This window comes from Homo sapiens, chromosome 10, assembly GCF_000001405.40.
Source record: "Homo sapiens chromosome 10, GRCh38.p14 Primary Assembly".
NCBI classification, from domain to species: domain Eukaryota; kingdom Metazoa; phylum Chordata; class Mammalia; order Primates; family Hominidae; genus Homo; species Homo sapiens.
Window position 1 is genome coordinate 27,983,151 of NC_000010.11, and position 16,764 is coordinate 27,999,914.

A 16,764-nucleotide genomic window follows, 5' to 3' on the forward strand; every position below is an offset into this window, starting at 1 on the left:
GTTGATTTTTCACGGTCCCAGAAACAGGCTCACCTCACCCCCTGGGAAATATCACTATCAGTCATCCAGTGCTCCATTTTCAAAGGTCCAGGTCCCAGCTCTGCCATCTCTACAAGGATCCTCTTCCCGAGGTATGAGCATTAACTGGGCAGTGCCCACTCTTCAGAGATCTGGAGCCCTGCCTCATGGAGATGGTCTGAACTCTGTGGGGACCAGCACAGCCTGGAAGTGGACCCTCCCAAGAGGTCTGGGTCCCAGCTTCATAGGGCACTGTCTCCTACCTTCTACATTTAGATAAGCCCCTCTCTTTCCCTTTGTCCCTCCAACTCTTAGGATGCAAGCTGCAGTTATGACATCTGTATTATCTCAATGTTTCTTTTTTGACCTTTCTATCATTTGGAAGCTGTGTAATGAATCAGTGAAGTGATTACGTTAAAGACATTTATAAAGTGGAATGGGTCACTTTGAAGCCCATTTCTTATCAGATTGGCTTAATGACCTGCAGTGGAGAATAAGAGAGCTAATTCTGAAGCTATTTTGGATTTGCCCAGCAAGCATATATCAAAGGAATCTGCTTCTATCCCACAGAATGGTAATTCATTCTCTGTGGTCATTGGGACACACCCTTGAGACATCTACAGCTAACAATCAAAGTCCACTGGCTTTAGTTACGTTTTTAAAAATTTACTTACACCATTTAAAAATACTCCTCCTGCACTGCAAGTAATGCACAGAGTCTCACCATCGTGAGGTTTCACCAGCACATAACAAATTTCCCCACGAATTTGTCTCCACGGTGGGGCTCGACATCCATTTGAAAATTCATAATCTGAAACCAATCATCAAGCAATTAACAGGAGTTCCTTAACCTAGAGTTTGGTAAAAAGTGTTGGCTTCCACAAAATAAATATTGTGGAAATTTTAAGCTTTCCCCTTCTTAAACCTTCTCTTGTAATGTAGACATTGAAAGCATTTTGCAAATGTAATTATGAAAATGTAAATAACATAAAATGAGCCTGAGAAAACATCAAACCTGAGGTATATTCAATAGATTCCAAGACTGTTTGGTTTCCTTTTCCTGAGAAACGTTTGAGCAGTTCTATATCCTTCTTCACCGTCATGGGACTTAAACTTATTTCTCTGAAATAAATGTTTAAAATGTCAGCTTAAATACTTTAAACAGAATCTAGGAAACACATGAACACATTTCATTGTATCAGGAGAAATATCTTTTTTGTAATTAAAATTGCAGTTAATTTTAGCCGTGCTATAATTTTATAACAGCACTGTCAACACATCAAGTAATTAGTGATTTATGTTTAATGCAACATTAAACGTACTCCATTAAATATTCACTTTATTTCATGCTGATAATATTCTAACACTAAAAATATTAGAAAATGAACATGCTTTGGACTATACAAACTCTACATGATATCTGCATTATAATTTAATAATTTGTGTAATAGTCTTGAGAGCATTTGAAAATAACAAGACCACCTAATGTCTTCAGAATTGCATGAAACCCCACCAGAATGTTTTCGTGATGTCACCTGCAATTTTTAATTTTTAGAACTGGAATAAATGAATCCCAGGAAAATTGTTTGTTCCAATAAAATGTAAAGTTAAATCCATAGCAATAACTTCCATACTTTACTTTTCTTGTGTCTTTTTTTCTAAAACTCTGAAAGCAACTTTGTAACTAATTTTTAAAGGTTCCTTTTTAATTTTTTAATTTTAATTGTAATATTTTATTATTTATTTAACTATCTATTTTGAGACAGAGTCTTGCTCTGTCACCCAGGCTGGAGTTCAGTGGTGCAATCTTGGCTCAATACAATAGAGGTTCCTTTTTGAAAAAGACTCACAATGAAATATGTTTTAGAGAATGATTGAGGAGGTGCAGATCCAATTGCTTAAGCAGCATAGCAATCTTCATCTTAATTTCACTTTCAGGATCATCATCTCTGGTAATTTTGCCAAGAATATTTAATGCAATTGAGTTTTCTTTCATTGTATTATAATCAGAGCCCAGGATTTTTACTATGGGGTCTCTGTTAGCTGCCAAAAAAAAAAAAAAGGAGACAAATAAAAATTATCCACTTGTCTTCTAGTACAACAAACATTAAGACTAATAAATCCTTCAAAGTCCATTCAGACGTGTTTCTTTCATTAAGCTTTTTCTAAACGACCCAATTAGAATTCATCTCTACGTCTGAGATTCCATTGCTTTTAGGAACTTTCTTCTACTTCACGAGATGCTCTAGTTTGTATTGTAACATCATCTATATATCTCCCTAATAGCACAAAGACCAAGACAGTCATTCATTCTTTCTTTTTTAATTGGCCGTGGGGCATTGTTCAGAATGCACATTCAATTAATACATTCAGAATTTATTTGAAGATGGAGAAATAGTGATCTTCTTAGAAGAATCATCACTAGAACTATATGTGCATGTGTGTATGTGTGTGTAGCAGTGCTGGGTATTTATAAAGGCTTTCTTTCCAAAATAGCATGCTTTCCTAAGCCTACAGACCCAGTAGCACTCTTTTGCAAGTATTCAAACAGCTTAATATTTGCAATGCCATATGATCTTAGAGTTGGAAAGCACATCTAGCCATATACATAATATATACATAATTTAATTATATATATATTAAAATTATAGTGAAAAACAAATACCAATTCATTATCAAGGCTGATACAGATGTGAAAGTTGAACCTAGAGATGTTGAAAACAGAATTTGGTTAATGTCAAAAACCAATATGGTTGAAAATGAAGGAGAAAGTGGAAAACCCTTGTTTAGAATGGAGAAATTTGAGAAAGATGAAAATATGTATGCATTGAGATGGGGGTGGAGAGGAAGGCCTATGAGACTAATTCAGAAAGCTTAACTTAAAGGAAATGAAGAAAAGTATAGTGAAGGCATTAACATTCCCATGTGGTCATGGGATATGCCAAGGCCTTAAGGCTGAGAAAAGGACTTCACTGGGGGAGAGGAGAGCAGCGAAAAGGAGACAAAGGAATCAACCATTTATTGAGCATCTCAACTTAACAACCTTATGACTGTCATCACACAGAGATTTACAAAAAGAGCAGGCAGATTCTGAGGAATGGCATAAACCTGACTACCAAATTGCCATGTACCATGCAACTTGGACCTGAAACTAAGGGTTATACCAAAATTCTTGCAGAAATGGCAAAATGTAGCAAAGGATAAGTATTTAGCAAATGGATAAGTATTCAGCTATATAGAAATCTACATATTATGTCTACCAATTGAGTTGAATTGAATGAATAATCCTTCATCTATTAACTACCTCCTTGAATTCAGCTTTACTCTTCAAGACTTGATACCCTCGCCTAATAAGGAGTAATAGGCAAGGCATAAAAAGAGGTTGCCATCCTGAGGTTAGCATCTAAAAAATAAAAGTAAAAAAAAGACCATCTTCCCATCTCACACAGAAATAGGCAGAATTCAAATACCTTGTGCCAGAAACCCATTGGTCACATAATTCCAATAAAGCAGGACGCATACATTATCACCTATGATTAGGTACTTCTACTCATAAGAAACATTTACCACACAATTATAGCAGGCAACCACATTCATTTTTTGCATGTTAGATGATTAGATGATAGTGTGAACATCACATATTTTTAAGAAGAAGAAAAATATTTGCCACAAAGTTGAATGACTGTAACTATTCACAGAAGGCTGTGAAGTCCACAGTGGAATATGGCTGAGAAAAGTGGAAAGGGAGACTATTAAAGGCTGTCTCTGCTAAAGAAAGAGCCTACATTCATTTTAAAGGAAATAGATTGTCATTCAATCTATTCCTTGGCAGTATGCCGAGAGAGAGTGGATTCAGAGGCCAGCCCTTGTCATCTGTCTTCTCTATTGACACTGACCTAACAGGCTACAGCCCCCTGTGCTTTCCAGAAGCTGAGAAGGTTCTCTTTCAAACCACATGCTAAAATCAGAAACCTAGAAACTTACCAGTGGTAAGGTAGCAGGCTTTTCATTTTAAAGCAGAAATTTGATAGGAGCATAATATTGCAGCCAAGGAAAATTAATAACATTTTCATGAAGTTGTACATTTGACTTTTTACCTTGTAGATTGTAGAATCTTTTTCAAGAGACTCTAACAAATGATCCTCCCACCCTTTCCCCACTTTCCCAGCAAGATTGTTTCTAAAAGTTCAAATCACAGACTGGAGCATTAAGATCACCTTCAACACATGCTTGGGCTTCCTTCAACTTCCCAGTTTTGGCAATAAGTAACAAGCGTGACAGCTGCCCAAAGCTCCTAATTTTAATTTGTGGTACAGAGAGAAATAGCAAAGGCTGTCCATTTTTATCAACTTCTTCTGATTTGACTGTTGTTTCACTAAAAAATAAAAATAAAAAATTGAAAGCTTCATGCTACCTAGAGGTCAGTAGAAGTTAAATTTAAGACATTTAGACAGATTATTCCTATATCTCATTATAAAATACAGAAAATATAAATACATCTGGTTAGTAGCTCATCTGTTTTCCCACTTTCTTCCACACTCAAACTCTTAAATCCTCAAACTTACCAGCAAGCCTAGTGACCAATAGGATATAACCAAGGAAGAATTTTTTTTTTTTTTAGCAATTTCTTGAATTCACAATTGAACTCAAATAGTCACAGTTTTTGTTTTTGTTTTCTAAAATGTGTTGATTTCTGGCATCTTTTTAAAAATCATTGGTTCTGCAAAACCCTTCATGCTTTGGGGAGTTCTAATGTTATTTTATTTATAAAATTTTTACACCACAGTAATTAGTGGTTAGGGGTTTTCTTGGCTACACTGTGTTTATGAACAAAAAAACTATGAAAAAAAAAGCAAACTGAAGGCAAACTAGATCCTCTCTGAATTCCTTTCCCACTCTAAACTTCTTTATTTGGTTTGCCTTGGGATAATAGGCAGTTTTTCTAAATGGATTCTTCCTGATCAAAAGTTATTGAGTCTCCTAGCTTTGTGTTTCCATCCATTTTAATGATTTTTTTCAGGTTGGCCTTTAAAAAATATTAAGATGTTTTCATGGAAGTGATATTTCTATAGATTTCTACCACTTACAACATTAACTAAACTGTCTAGGTTTTGTATTACAGGAGGCTATATCTGATGAAACTCCTGACACCTTAACACCTGATCTAGCTTTTTTTTTTTTTTTTTTGAGACAGAGTATCCCTCTGTCACCGGGATTGGAGTGCAGTGGCGTGATCTCGGGTCACTGCAACCTCTGCCTCCGGAGCTCAAGCAATCCTCCCACCTCAGCCCCCAAGTAGCTGGGACTAGAGGCACATGCCACCATGCCTCGCTAATTTTTGTATTTTTAGTAGACAACGGGGTTACACTATGTTGGCCAGGCTGGTCTTGAATTCCTGAGCTCAAGGGATCCACACACCTCGACCTCCCAAAGTACTGGGATTACAGGCGTGAGCTACCACACCTGGCCTGATCTAACATATTTTGAATTGCAATGTAGATACATAGATGTAAAATGTTGCTAGTTCATCAGAAAAAGTAAATCTGACCAACCGAGATTACTTATTACTGACGATCTCACTAGAATAAAAATAAGAGGATAGGAACTAGGGGAAACAGAATAATGTTCACATCTGAATCCCCAAAACCTATGAACATGTCACCTTACATGGCAAAAGGGACTTTGCATAGAAATTAAGTCAAGGATCCTGAGATGGGGAGACTATTCTGGGTATTTGGAGGAAGCCAAACATAATCACCAGGGTTCTTATAAGAGGAAGACAGGAGGGACAGAGGCAGCGACAGGGATATGCTGATGGAAGCAGCGGTCAGAGTGATGTGGAGCCATGAGCCATGAGTCATGAGTCAAGGAACATAGGGGCCTCTAGAAGCTGGAAAAGCAAAGAATAAATTCTCCTTAAGCCTCCGGAAGGAATGCAACCCTGCCGATACCTTGATTTTAGCCCTGCAGGTTCATTTTAGACTTCTGACCTCTAGAACTGTAAGATAATACATTTGTGTGTGTTAAGCCATTAGGTTTGGGGCAATGTGTTACAGCAGCAAAAGAGGGCTCACAGAGGGACTTTATGAGTCCGATTCTGCTGGGTGCAGATAGGGACTGCCCCTATCACCAGCACTTCAGATAGGAACTGCACATAGAAGACATTTAGTAAACATCTGGGGAATAAATGAATGAATAAAATATTTCTAGACTTGCCAATGACATGCATTGTTCACAAAATGTATATTTTCTCTAAAATTAAGCTTCTGGAATAATGCCCTTAGGACTTAAGAGATTTTTTAAAGGCCTGTTACCTAAAGGTTACTCACATCAAGGGCTGGCCACCACACGAAGTGGATGGTGAGAGGACTAAGTAACAGGCTGACCAAATACCAAAGATACCAAGCTACTTAACTAGAGAGAGTGAAACTCCTGGTGAGAAGCCAAAGGGCACAGGTGACATTTTTCATTGCTCCTACCAGTTGAAGCCTGTAACTTAACAGAGAAGTCAGAAATAAAATGCCAGCTACCTTAACCAGGCATGGTGGCACGTGCTTTGGTCCCAGCTACTTGGGAGGCTGAGGTGGGAGGATCACTTGAGCCCGGGAGGCGGGAGGATGCAGTGAGCCAACATCACACCACTGCACTCCAACCTGAGTGACAGAGTGAGACCCCCTCTCAAAAAATAAAATAAAAATAGATTTGAAAAATAAAAAACGCCAGCTATGGACAAGATTTTGAAGAGGAAGTTTCAGTTTTCAGGCTCACAGTTTCTAACACCTGAAGAATGAGCTCTTGGAAAGAAAAATGCTGCACTCACCTTGGGAAGATCAGGAAGAATGAGCTATCAAAAACTCCAGTGACCTGATGGAGAAACTTTTAAACCAGAATCGTGGAAGGGAGCTAAAAATTCTGTTTATACTCTAAAGCAAGAAAGCAGAAAAGTGTCTTTTTTCTTTAATCCTCAGTATCGAGTTTAGTGTCCTTTTTTTTTTAAGAGACAAGATCTTGCTCTGTCACCCAGGCTGGAGTGCAGTGGCACAATCATAGCTCTCTGCAGCCTCGAACTCCTGGGCTCAAGGGATTCTTCTCCCTCAGCTTCCCAAGCAGATGGGACTACAGCCGCACGCCACCACACCTGGCTGCTTATTTATTCGTTGGTCTGTTTATTTATTTATTATTTATTTTTTAGAGACAGGGTCTTGCTATGTTGCCCATGCTGGCCTTGAACTCCTGGGTTCGAGTGATCCTTCCATCTCCACCTTCCAAAGTGCTGGGATTACTGGCATGGGCCACTGCACCCGGCCCCATTTAGTGTCTTACTACTTAATAAATGTATGTCTAAATAGTAACATAGAAAATAAGGCTATAGCTAAGAAACTAGCAGTCCTCAGGGACAAAAAATAAATAGCTCAGTAACAAAACTTATGGCCACTGACCCTACTACTGTGACTTAGAAATTTTACCAAAATGCAATAATTATTGTCTCATAAAACAATATTATTTTATAGGTTGAGTGTAACCTTAGAGATCATGTAAATTCAGCCTTTCATGATATCGATCACAAAGCTAAGGTCCAGAAAGGTATAAATTGTGTGTGAATTGTGCATTCTTGAGGGGAAGACAGCCATTGCTCTGGTGACCTGACTTCCTGTCCCAACTCCTACCAGAATATATTTTTATCTCGATGCATATATATCACTGAGATGCAGTGGAGTGAGATTTAAAAATAAAATATGGCAATATTATAGCACATTTGATTCAAAATCATACTGTAGTTCTACCAGAGAAGGAAAAAAAATCAGGTAATAACATTTTCACCATGTGATTCTGAGCGCTTATCCAATTTATAAATTTCCCAAGCTACATTAGAAAGAATCAAAGTGCCTTGGTTCTATGTACCACAGATGGTATTGCCATTGAGTGGTGTCATTTGTTCTTAGTTTACAGCAAATTTAAGTTTCATTCTGAGGTGTTTTAGGAAGACTATTAATTTCATCCTGTCTGATAAGAACAAAAGCAATTGCAAATGATAATACAAAGAGACCTATGATTTCCATGAAATGAAAGTAGAGCTATTTGACCCCCAGCCCCCACCCCAAAATTAAACGTGGAAAGATGATGACAAATGTTATAACATGATGAAAACACTGGGAATCATTCTAAGGAAAAGACCATCACGTAACATGAACAGGGCTATGCCCATCTATTCAATTAATAACGATCTGCACAAAAGGACAGAAGGCAGTTGATGAAACATAAAACCTTTCCAGTGTGTGACTAAAGTATCAGTTTCAGTATCAGATTCTCATTAGCCTAATCAGAAAAAGGATGATCAAACTTCTATTGACTGTTGCCCACAGTGCATTTGGAATGTGCAACATCAAATGAGAACTAAAGCCACAAATATAAATATATTGCCATCAATGTCCACAGAGACCAACAAAAAAGGGGTAGCTTATCTACTTCGGCAGAATTTCAGCGTAGATAAAACTTAACTTGTTTTGGAACAAGAGGCCTGAGAGGTCTACCCACAAGGAGAGGCATCCTCCTTTACTTTAAAGTATCCAAGGACATTCCTATTTGGTAGAAACACATCCAGAGACTCCAAGCTCAAATCCTCCAGGATAATCTTGGCCTTACACATGGATGCCCAGACCTGAGTCCTGTCTGGAAGGAAAGTAGCTTCCCCACTTTCAATAAATGTATAATAGTGTACTAACAGCAGAGAAGCCAGAAGAGTGTGCTTGGTCCAAAGGGCAATGAATGAGGTCATGGGGACTGTTTTGATAATAAATTCTTTGGGTAATTGAGAATATCTCTGGTTGACATCACTTGTTCTCATAGCAAACACTGAGTGGCTATGGGTTACTGAACTTTCTTTGGTTTGGGGAGTAGACCAAGGGGCACGGTCAAGACCTGGATGTTAAAGCATCTGGTACTTTCCATTATGACCAAAATCTCAGCTGTACACTTTGCCTTCTTCAAGGCACTCTTGGTTTTCATCAGCGCCAGGCAAGCATGGTTTCCTTCAAATACAACAGCAATACCTCTCTCTACCCTTCCAACATCAAAGATATCAATAACGGTCAGACACAAAAAGAATGGATTGAGAAATTAGCCCAAGGAAAAGTTGTATAGTAAATATGACAGAAGTATAAAAATCAAGGGGTAATTGTTTCAAAATGTCAAAATGCCCTTCTCAGGAGGGAACACTGTGCATAAAGACTGCATGCAGAGCTGGGCACAGCAGCTCAGGTCTGAAATACCAGCAATTCAGGGGGCCAAGGTAGAAGGATCTCTTGAGGCCAAAAGTACAAGACCAGTCAGAGCAACATGGTGAGATCCTGTCTCTACAAAAAAATAGAAAAATTGACCAGGCATAGTAGTATGTGCCTATAGTCCTAGCTGCTTGAGGGGCTGAGGTGGGAGGATCCATGGAGCCCAGGAGTTTGAGCTGCAGTGAGCTATGATCACTCCACTGCAGTCCAGCCTGGGCAACAGAGCCAGACCCTGTCTTAAATAAATACATAAATAACTGTGTGCTGAGATATAAGAATGGAAATAAGGCAAAAAGAATCTGGACAAGAATAGGGGGAAATAGTGATAGATTTGAGAGGTGTGTGTCACAGCCCACCTAACTAGGGGTCAGATGTGATCACGTTTGTGCTTGGAGCACAAAATTTGTACAAAGGCAAAACAATCATGATATTCTTTTCTGTCATCTGCTTTAAATGCATTTTTATAAAAAAATATTAATTTTTTTTGAGATGGAGTTTCTCTGTCACCCAGGCTGGAGTTCTGTGGTGCAATCTCGGCTCACTGCAACCTCCACCTCCCAGATTCAAGCAATTCTCCTGCCTCAGCCTCCCTAGTAGCTGAGATTACAGAACGTGCCACCATGCCCGGCTAATTTCTGTATTTTCAGTAGAGACAGGATTTCACCATGTTGGCCAGGCTGGTCTTGAACTCCTGATCTCTGGTGATCTGCCCACCTCGGCCTTTCAAAACGTTGGGATTACAGGTGTGAGCCACCATGATCAGCCAAGTAGTTAATATGTTTTTAATTTGTTTTACGTAGGAGATCATATTTCAAAGCTTAGGAAAAAAGCTGAACAATACAGAAATGACAACTTCTGGAGAAAGTTACCACTGGCACAGTTAGAAATAAAATGCACCATTAGAAAAATAAGATTTCAGGCCGGGCGTGGTGGTTCACACCTGTAATTCTAACACTTTGGGAGGCTGAGGCAGGCGGGTTGCCTGAGCTCAGGAGTTCAAGACCAGCCTGGGCAACATGGGGAAACCCCGTCTCTACTAAAATACAAAAAATTAGCCAGGCGTGGTGGCGGATGCCTATATTCCGAGCTACTTAGGAGGCTGAGGCAGGAGAATTGCTTGAACCAGAGAGGTGGAACTTGCAGTGAACCAAGATTACACCACTGCACTCCAGCCTGGGCAAAAGAGCGAGACTCTGTCTCCAGAAAAAAAAATAAATAAATAAATATGACTTCAAACAACTCAGAGAGAAGGCTGACCAATAGAAGAATTAAAGAGCTTTTGAAATACAGTTTAAGAATGGTTTTGCTGCAGTTCTAAAAATGAAATTCTGACTTTATTCTCACAAATAATCCCAAAGGGAGAAAAGGGAAAAGGCATCTACAGGAAGCTTTGGCTAGCTAGGGAACTGTTTTTATATGATCAGACTTTAAAAGTTCATATCCAGAACAAAGAAGAACAAGGTGGTAGAAAATAGAATGCCTAAGGTGCAAAATAAACTGAGGCTGGCAAATATATATATATATATGTGTGTGTGTGTGTGTGTGTGTGTGTGTGTGTGTATTTGTTAGCTTACTTATTGTATAATTATAATGCTTAATGAACTAATACATTCTTATACAATTATATTTAATTTGTTCACATAATTTATGCGTATGTGTGTGTATATATATATTTTAGCCATGTTTGAATGAGATAGATTGAGAGTTCACTGTTTGAGACAGAAGTAAATTTTTTTTCATCTCAGATTTGAAAGGCTCTAATCTGAGGACACCAGTAATTCTTAAGAATTCTCTCCCTTATATTGGGCAAAATCAAAATTCATCATTCATCACCCCTCCCCGCCGCCTCCTGCTTCTAGCCCAGGAATTGATCAATTTAAATACCAGAAGAGATTTCATCTACATCAGAGGTCACGAAACCAATGGCTCCTGGCATCTGGCAGGTAATACGGAAGTACCCCATACATTTATAGAAATAAAATTCAGAAGAATATGGATGACCTGGTGTGGTGGCTCATGCCTGTAACCCTAGCATTGTAGAAGGCTGAGGCAGGAGGATCACTTGAGGCCAGGAATTTGAGACCACCCTGGGCAACATAGTGAGACCTCATCTGTAAAAAGTATATATATGTGTATATATATCTCCACATATGGGTGGAAAGGCCAGGCATAAAGCAGCAATGGATGTTGGCAGTGTAGTGACCTGGATAACGGATGCCCTGTTAAAAGAAATTTACCCACAAAAATTAAAATTTTGTTTAATTTGAAAAATTTAAAACTTAGAAAGATACTGTGTTGGCCAAGCTGAATATCCTCAGACTTCACCTGTGTGTCTCTGGTTTTCATTCCCTGGTTTAGAGGGCTTCTGAGGTTCAGAGAGGTTAGGTGACTTGCCCCCAAACCTAGAACCAATTGATAATACTATGTACAACGAAGATATCAAATCCTAGAAGCAAGTAACTGGCTTACCTGACAACATAACCTGATTCAAATGCTGAGGGCGCCAAACTTGTGTTCCATTCAAGTGGTTCCACAAAAACAAATTTTGCCTCTTGAGGATGTTTATAGATAAAACTCTCCACAAACACAATAATTTCTTTCAATATCGCTTCATTTAGAGGGGTGATTTCGAGGATTCCAGTTCCATGTCCGGCAGCAGTCCACTGCGTCAATTTCCTCAGAGCCACACCCATGGGATCCACCGTGCTCAGACCTGAGCTTAGCACACGCACTACATCAGAGCAGAAAGAGAAAGAGACAACAGCGTCCACCTTTTCCTTGGAACATTTTTCATTCTCAAGACTTTAAACTAGTACTCCCCATCCCACATTCTGCTTATTAATCTTGGAAGATTCTTTTAACATTATCTAATTGCTCTTCAGTTCAATGAAGTAGTAAACCAGCACTAGATAAAACTGACTAGTATTTAAGAAATTTCCGGTATTTGCCCTGAAATTAATAACTTCTTTCTAATTTCCCTAGGGCCTAAGAGAGAGGATTCAAACAGATAGGCATAAAACCCAAATAGAAAACTCCAAGAGTGGAAAAAAAAGGAAGTGGAAGAGGTTTATATTAAGGGCTTTTGTTCACAGCTCTGTTGGGAGCCAGCAGTTTCAGGGACAAACATTCCTTTCAGCCAGGACACACATTGTTTAGAATTACACTATTAAACTGAATACTGTTATCCCGACTTTCTTACAGTGACAATATCTGCATCATCACAATGATGACTGAAGAACATGATTCTGGTAGCTCTGGTTTCCCCAAGTGCATTCTGAGTTAAAAAAGAAATAGAATAAGAACAGTATTGTGAAATATAATTTTTTTTCTAAAAATTGATACAGGACACATTGATCCTATTACCAGAATATCTGGACAATCCAAATACTATTTTCCCTGCCTGTATATCCTGCCCAGATGACATTTTACTGTAATTCACAACCTTCTTAAGAGTTAATGTGAGAGATGTAGGAATAAGTGAGACTCTTTCAGCCTTTTTATCTAAATTAGTTATCAGAAGAGTCTAGCAGTAAAATTTAAAACCAATTCAAGTGAGACAAATTTCACATTGGCTAAATAGAAATTAGTCTGTAAAAGAAGATCTTTTAAAAAGTAACAAAATCTGTAACGTTAAATAAGAGCCAAGTTAGAAAGCACGTTCTGACTTCATAATGAACATTTAATGCTTTTTTGGCAGATAATCTATACTTGTTTCTTTTCTCTTTTGTATAGCACTTATTGATAAAATCTTTCTTCCAGAATATTAGAAGAATGGTTATACGGTTAAATATAGAATAAAATTGGCTTTTTACTCCCATCATTATTAAAAAGGCTTAAAGTACAAAGATTAGACTTGGAGATTTTACATTCTGTACTGTATTAAATCTTTGAACTATCTATTAAATTCAATCACAGGAGATCACTGGATGGCAACAGGGCAGTACTTCCTGCTGATAAAGAGTATAGAAATATTATAGAGATGTCTAGTTATCAACATGATAGGAAAGGGGGCATTATCGGCCTTTAGTGTTGAGGACCGACAATGTAAAATATCCTGTGCAGGATAGTACCTCAGAAGGAAGAATTCTGCTGTAACCTCCAGGCATCTAGTAAGTGAAAAACTTCAGATAAGCACTACCTGAGCCTAGAATTTTTCTGCACTTTGCAAAAATTGCAGAGTATTTTGTCACAGTTTTATTACACCCTGAATTTTCCAGAATTGTAGCTACCATAAACGAAAAGAAGGTTGTACATATTTTGTTTTACATGGAATTTTACCAAGAGCTCAGCATTTTGGAAAATGACACCATTGATGGCAATGTTATTTGAGAAATTTAAGTTGCAATGGCACATCTGTATCAGTCTGCATTTGGGGCTGCTGTGTTCACAGTCATTCTGTGTAAGGCTGGACATCTGACTACTTCCCTATATATTCTAGTGTAGTGGTACTTGAGCGTTTACATGCCAATCTTTTCTTACAATTATTTTCTTTCATTTTACAGTTAGCACACTATCAATATTTAAAACTATATTAAATATGTAAGATTATAATCTATGATATTGATTTCAGGATAGCAAAGCAGCCTTACAACATATATGCTATAAAAACCAAGTACTGGATCAGATAGGGTGGAGAACAACTGATCCAGACATATATACCAAAGTGGTCATGAAATAAAGTGCAGAAATTAGTGCACAAATTTGTTCTGGGTGTTTGTTTTAGTATTCTAGCATTTTGTTTCTATTGCTAACCGATGAGAAATGCTTTAGATTTAAACACATAAACATGTTCTGATGTGTATGTGTGAGACTCTTGAATTTCCCATTGTTGTGTAAAATAAGTGCAAATCAGTGTAAAATAGTGTGAAATAAGTGCAAATAGCTTTATCTTATACAGAAAGGCTTAGGTGAAAGTTCTGTCTGTCTTTAATCTTAAGTATAACATTTGTTTTGGTAATCTTATAAAGATTGCTTCTTGCACATTTTTAAAGAAAAAATGCGAAATTAAATAGATTATGTAACGCTATGGTAGTCAACATACCATATAGTAACTTCTTGAAGGACCCTTAACACAGAATTAAGAAATGCAAAATCGTTATTTTCGTCAAGATAAATTTTGACAGAAATGTAACATTTGAATCTATTCAAATTGTATTTCCAAGTCTAGTGAACCGTAGCAATGCACAAGTTTTATTCAAGAAGGTTGGTGAGTTTAAGAAAACCTCAGGGTGGCCTATGACAATCCAGAAGGCAAGATCAATGTTATTAGAAAATAAATAAATAAATAAATGGTGTTCAAAAATGGTCGGCATAACTCAAAACTAAGATTTTAAAATCAAGACCAGTTGCTCCCCGGTTTCTGCCCATTGCCAAGCTCTTTTGGCTTAAGAACCATAGTTAAAATGAATCCATGTAAATACACAGCACACACCTTTGAAGTAAAGAAAGTAAGTTTAAAGATTAAAAGGAAAAAAGTTTTGGTTACGTGTTTACATAAACTGGGATGTTTACATAAACTGGGAATCACTTAGCACTCATTTTTCTCTTTATCCAATAGATACCACAGATTGTTTTTCTTTCTAAAGGTCAATTTCAAGCTTCCAGCATCATTAGTGAAATGAAACCCATTCGGTAATCACATCGTTAACACTTAAACAGAAGCACAACCGAATTCTTTAGGGGGCTACGGAAAGGCAGCCATCAGCTCTGAGATCTATGAAATGTGGTTGGTAACATCCACGGGGAGTCCGCGCATACACTGCTTTCTGAGAATGCAGAAGTTACTCAGTAAGACCGACAGAAAATCGAACTTTTAGACATGACATGAACAGGGCCCTAAGTAAAACCAAAGCTAAGCCTAGTGTGGGATGACGGCCCCCACCAGACTCGTTACAAGAAGGGGGCGTCAGAGCTGAGACCCTAAGTTTCCAGGAATGGATTCGGTAAGGGGACGAGGAGGGAAGGGACGGCGAAAACCACGCTGGGAGCGGGAGGCAGAGCTGCAAAGGGCGGAGGAGAAAGACGGGCTGGGGGAAGGAGAGGCAGGGAAGCGGCGGGAGAAGTGGAGAGCGGATCCGGGAGGTGATGGGGCCGAGGTAGTGCAGAGAGGGGCGCAGGGACTGAGGAGCAGACGGTCCCCAACCTAGGGCCGAGGCAGGGTCTCGCGGGGAGGAAGGAGTGAGATGGGGCTGGGAGAGAGAAGGGAAGGGGGCGGGTCTTGGTCCCCGGGAGGGAAAGGGGAGCAGGCGAGAGCGGCAGCGGCGGGGCCAGAGAGCCGCCTCTGTTTCCCGATCCACGCGGGCGGCTGCAGAACCCCTGCGGGGGTGAGCGTGGAGACCCCCAGCCGCACTCACCTGCAGCACCCTGCCCCCCGCAGTCGGCGCCCGCCTGTTGCTAGGACGCGGGTCAACACTGCGCGCCCTGCGGCCGCGCACGCCGGCGCCCTTGTGGGAGGCCTACAGGGCCCGTGCCCTCCCCCGGGCGCCGCCGCCGCCGCCTTCCGCTCCCAGCCTCACCCGGCCGCGACCGCAGCCCAGTCCGTTACCCTGGTCTCGGGACCTCCGCGCATCCAAGATTCCCGCGGACCCGTTGCACCGTATGCCCGCGCCAGAGACGCTCTGCGCCCGCGCTGGGTTCCACCCGCCCCGGCCACCTGCTGCTTTCCGCTCGGCCCCTCCCGGGAAACACTTTTATTCAACTTTGCATCTCCCTTTCTCAAACACTTTTATGCAACTCCCGAGTGTGCACCCTAACTCACTCCACGCGGTGGGAAAGGTTGACTTTGACAGAGGTCGTGAGCAGTTGCGGGGTCGGCGGCAAGTTAGCAGAAAACTTAAAATGGAGCAGAAAGGAAGCAGAAAATATTCCTTAGAAACCCCTTTTTACATTTTTCCATAGGCTTCCAGACAAGTGCGTTGTATGTACCTGAAATCTTCACTGAGTACCCCCAAATAGCATAGGGCTTCTCCTAGGATATTTGAGGCTTACATGTTTCTCTCCAAAAAAACAAATATGGTAGAATACTCTGATACTCACCGGGAAAGCAGAAAGCGCTCTTCAATAGGGCAGAGGATCGGAGTGAAATGAAAACATGTCCCCCATCTCTTTTTTTAAATGGCCTTTACCTTTGTCCATTAAGATGGTTTTGACCCCACCTCTAGACACCCTACCAGCAAGAGCCCCAACTGGAACACCAGTGAGGGATAAAGGAGTGGGAATATTGAGGTGGGGGGGGATGGGGAAGAATGCACTATCTTGGGGTGGGGGGACACGGTGTTTAAGGACCAATGCCGGAGCACTTAGGATGATGGGGTGTTTAGGAATTAAAACTGGATTCTTTTCCGGATGCCAAAGAGGCAAATGTGGAATGATGTTAGGATATCACCTGTCATAATATTATACGGATTCAGCTCAAAGCAGAACCTTTCTGCAAACACGTAGGGATATGAGGTATAGATATTTGTCC

General features: G+C 39.8%; 1 protein-coding gene and 1 long non-coding RNA gene across 23 annotated transcripts in view, besides 1 other annotated feature; one reads left to right on the top strand and one right to left on the bottom strand.

Annotated features, from left to right (window-relative positions):
• The window catches only part of ODAD2 (outer dynein arm docking complex subunit 2), a 187,508-nt gene extending 170,983 nt beyond the window's left edge, over positions 1-16,525 (bottom strand). For 7 of the 22 annotated variants that reach the window (XM_047425409.1, XM_047425407.1, NM_001290020.2 and 4 more), the window contains exons 1-6: positions 15,653-15,747; positions 11,769-12,030; positions 4,236-4,393; positions 1,869-2,061; positions 1,034-1,140; positions 693-829 (exon numbers count right to left, since the gene is read on the bottom strand). In XM_047425409.1, the coding sequence (XP_047281365.1) occupies positions 693-829; positions 1,034-1,140; positions 1,869-2,061; positions 4,236-4,393; positions 11,769-11,992 (819 nt within the window). In that variant the 5' untranslated portion in view covers positions 11,993-12,030; positions 15,653-15,747. Of the gene's footprint in view, positions 1-692; positions 830-1,033; positions 1,141-1,868; positions 2,062-4,235; positions 4,394-11,768; positions 12,462-12,498; positions 12,574-14,340; positions 15,551-15,652; positions 15,748-15,843; positions 15,930-16,334 lie in introns of those variants that run through there. The other 15 variants (XM_047425410.1, XM_047425408.1, XM_047425405.1 and 12 more) reach the window with 9 other exon arrangements.
• On the top strand, positions 46-12,001 carry LOC112268060 (uncharacterized). Its single transcript, XR_002957065.1, has 3 exons — positions 46-131; positions 11,159-11,242; positions 11,918-12,001. It is a non-coding gene; the product is annotated as an uncharacterized LOC112268060 (long non-coding RNA).
• Positions 11,334-12,533: an enhancer, noted in NCBI's record as "CDK7 strongly-dependent group 2 enhancer chr10:28283413-28284612 (GRCh37/hg19 assembly coordinates)". NCBI's record gives its function as "activates an origin of replication core promoter dependent on BRD2, BRD4, P300/CBP, MED14 and CDK7 cofactors, with strong dependence on CDK7, by STARR-seq in HCT116 cells {active_cell/tissue: HCT116}" and the evidence as "EXISTENCE:reporter gene assay evidence [ECO:0000049][PMID:35650434]".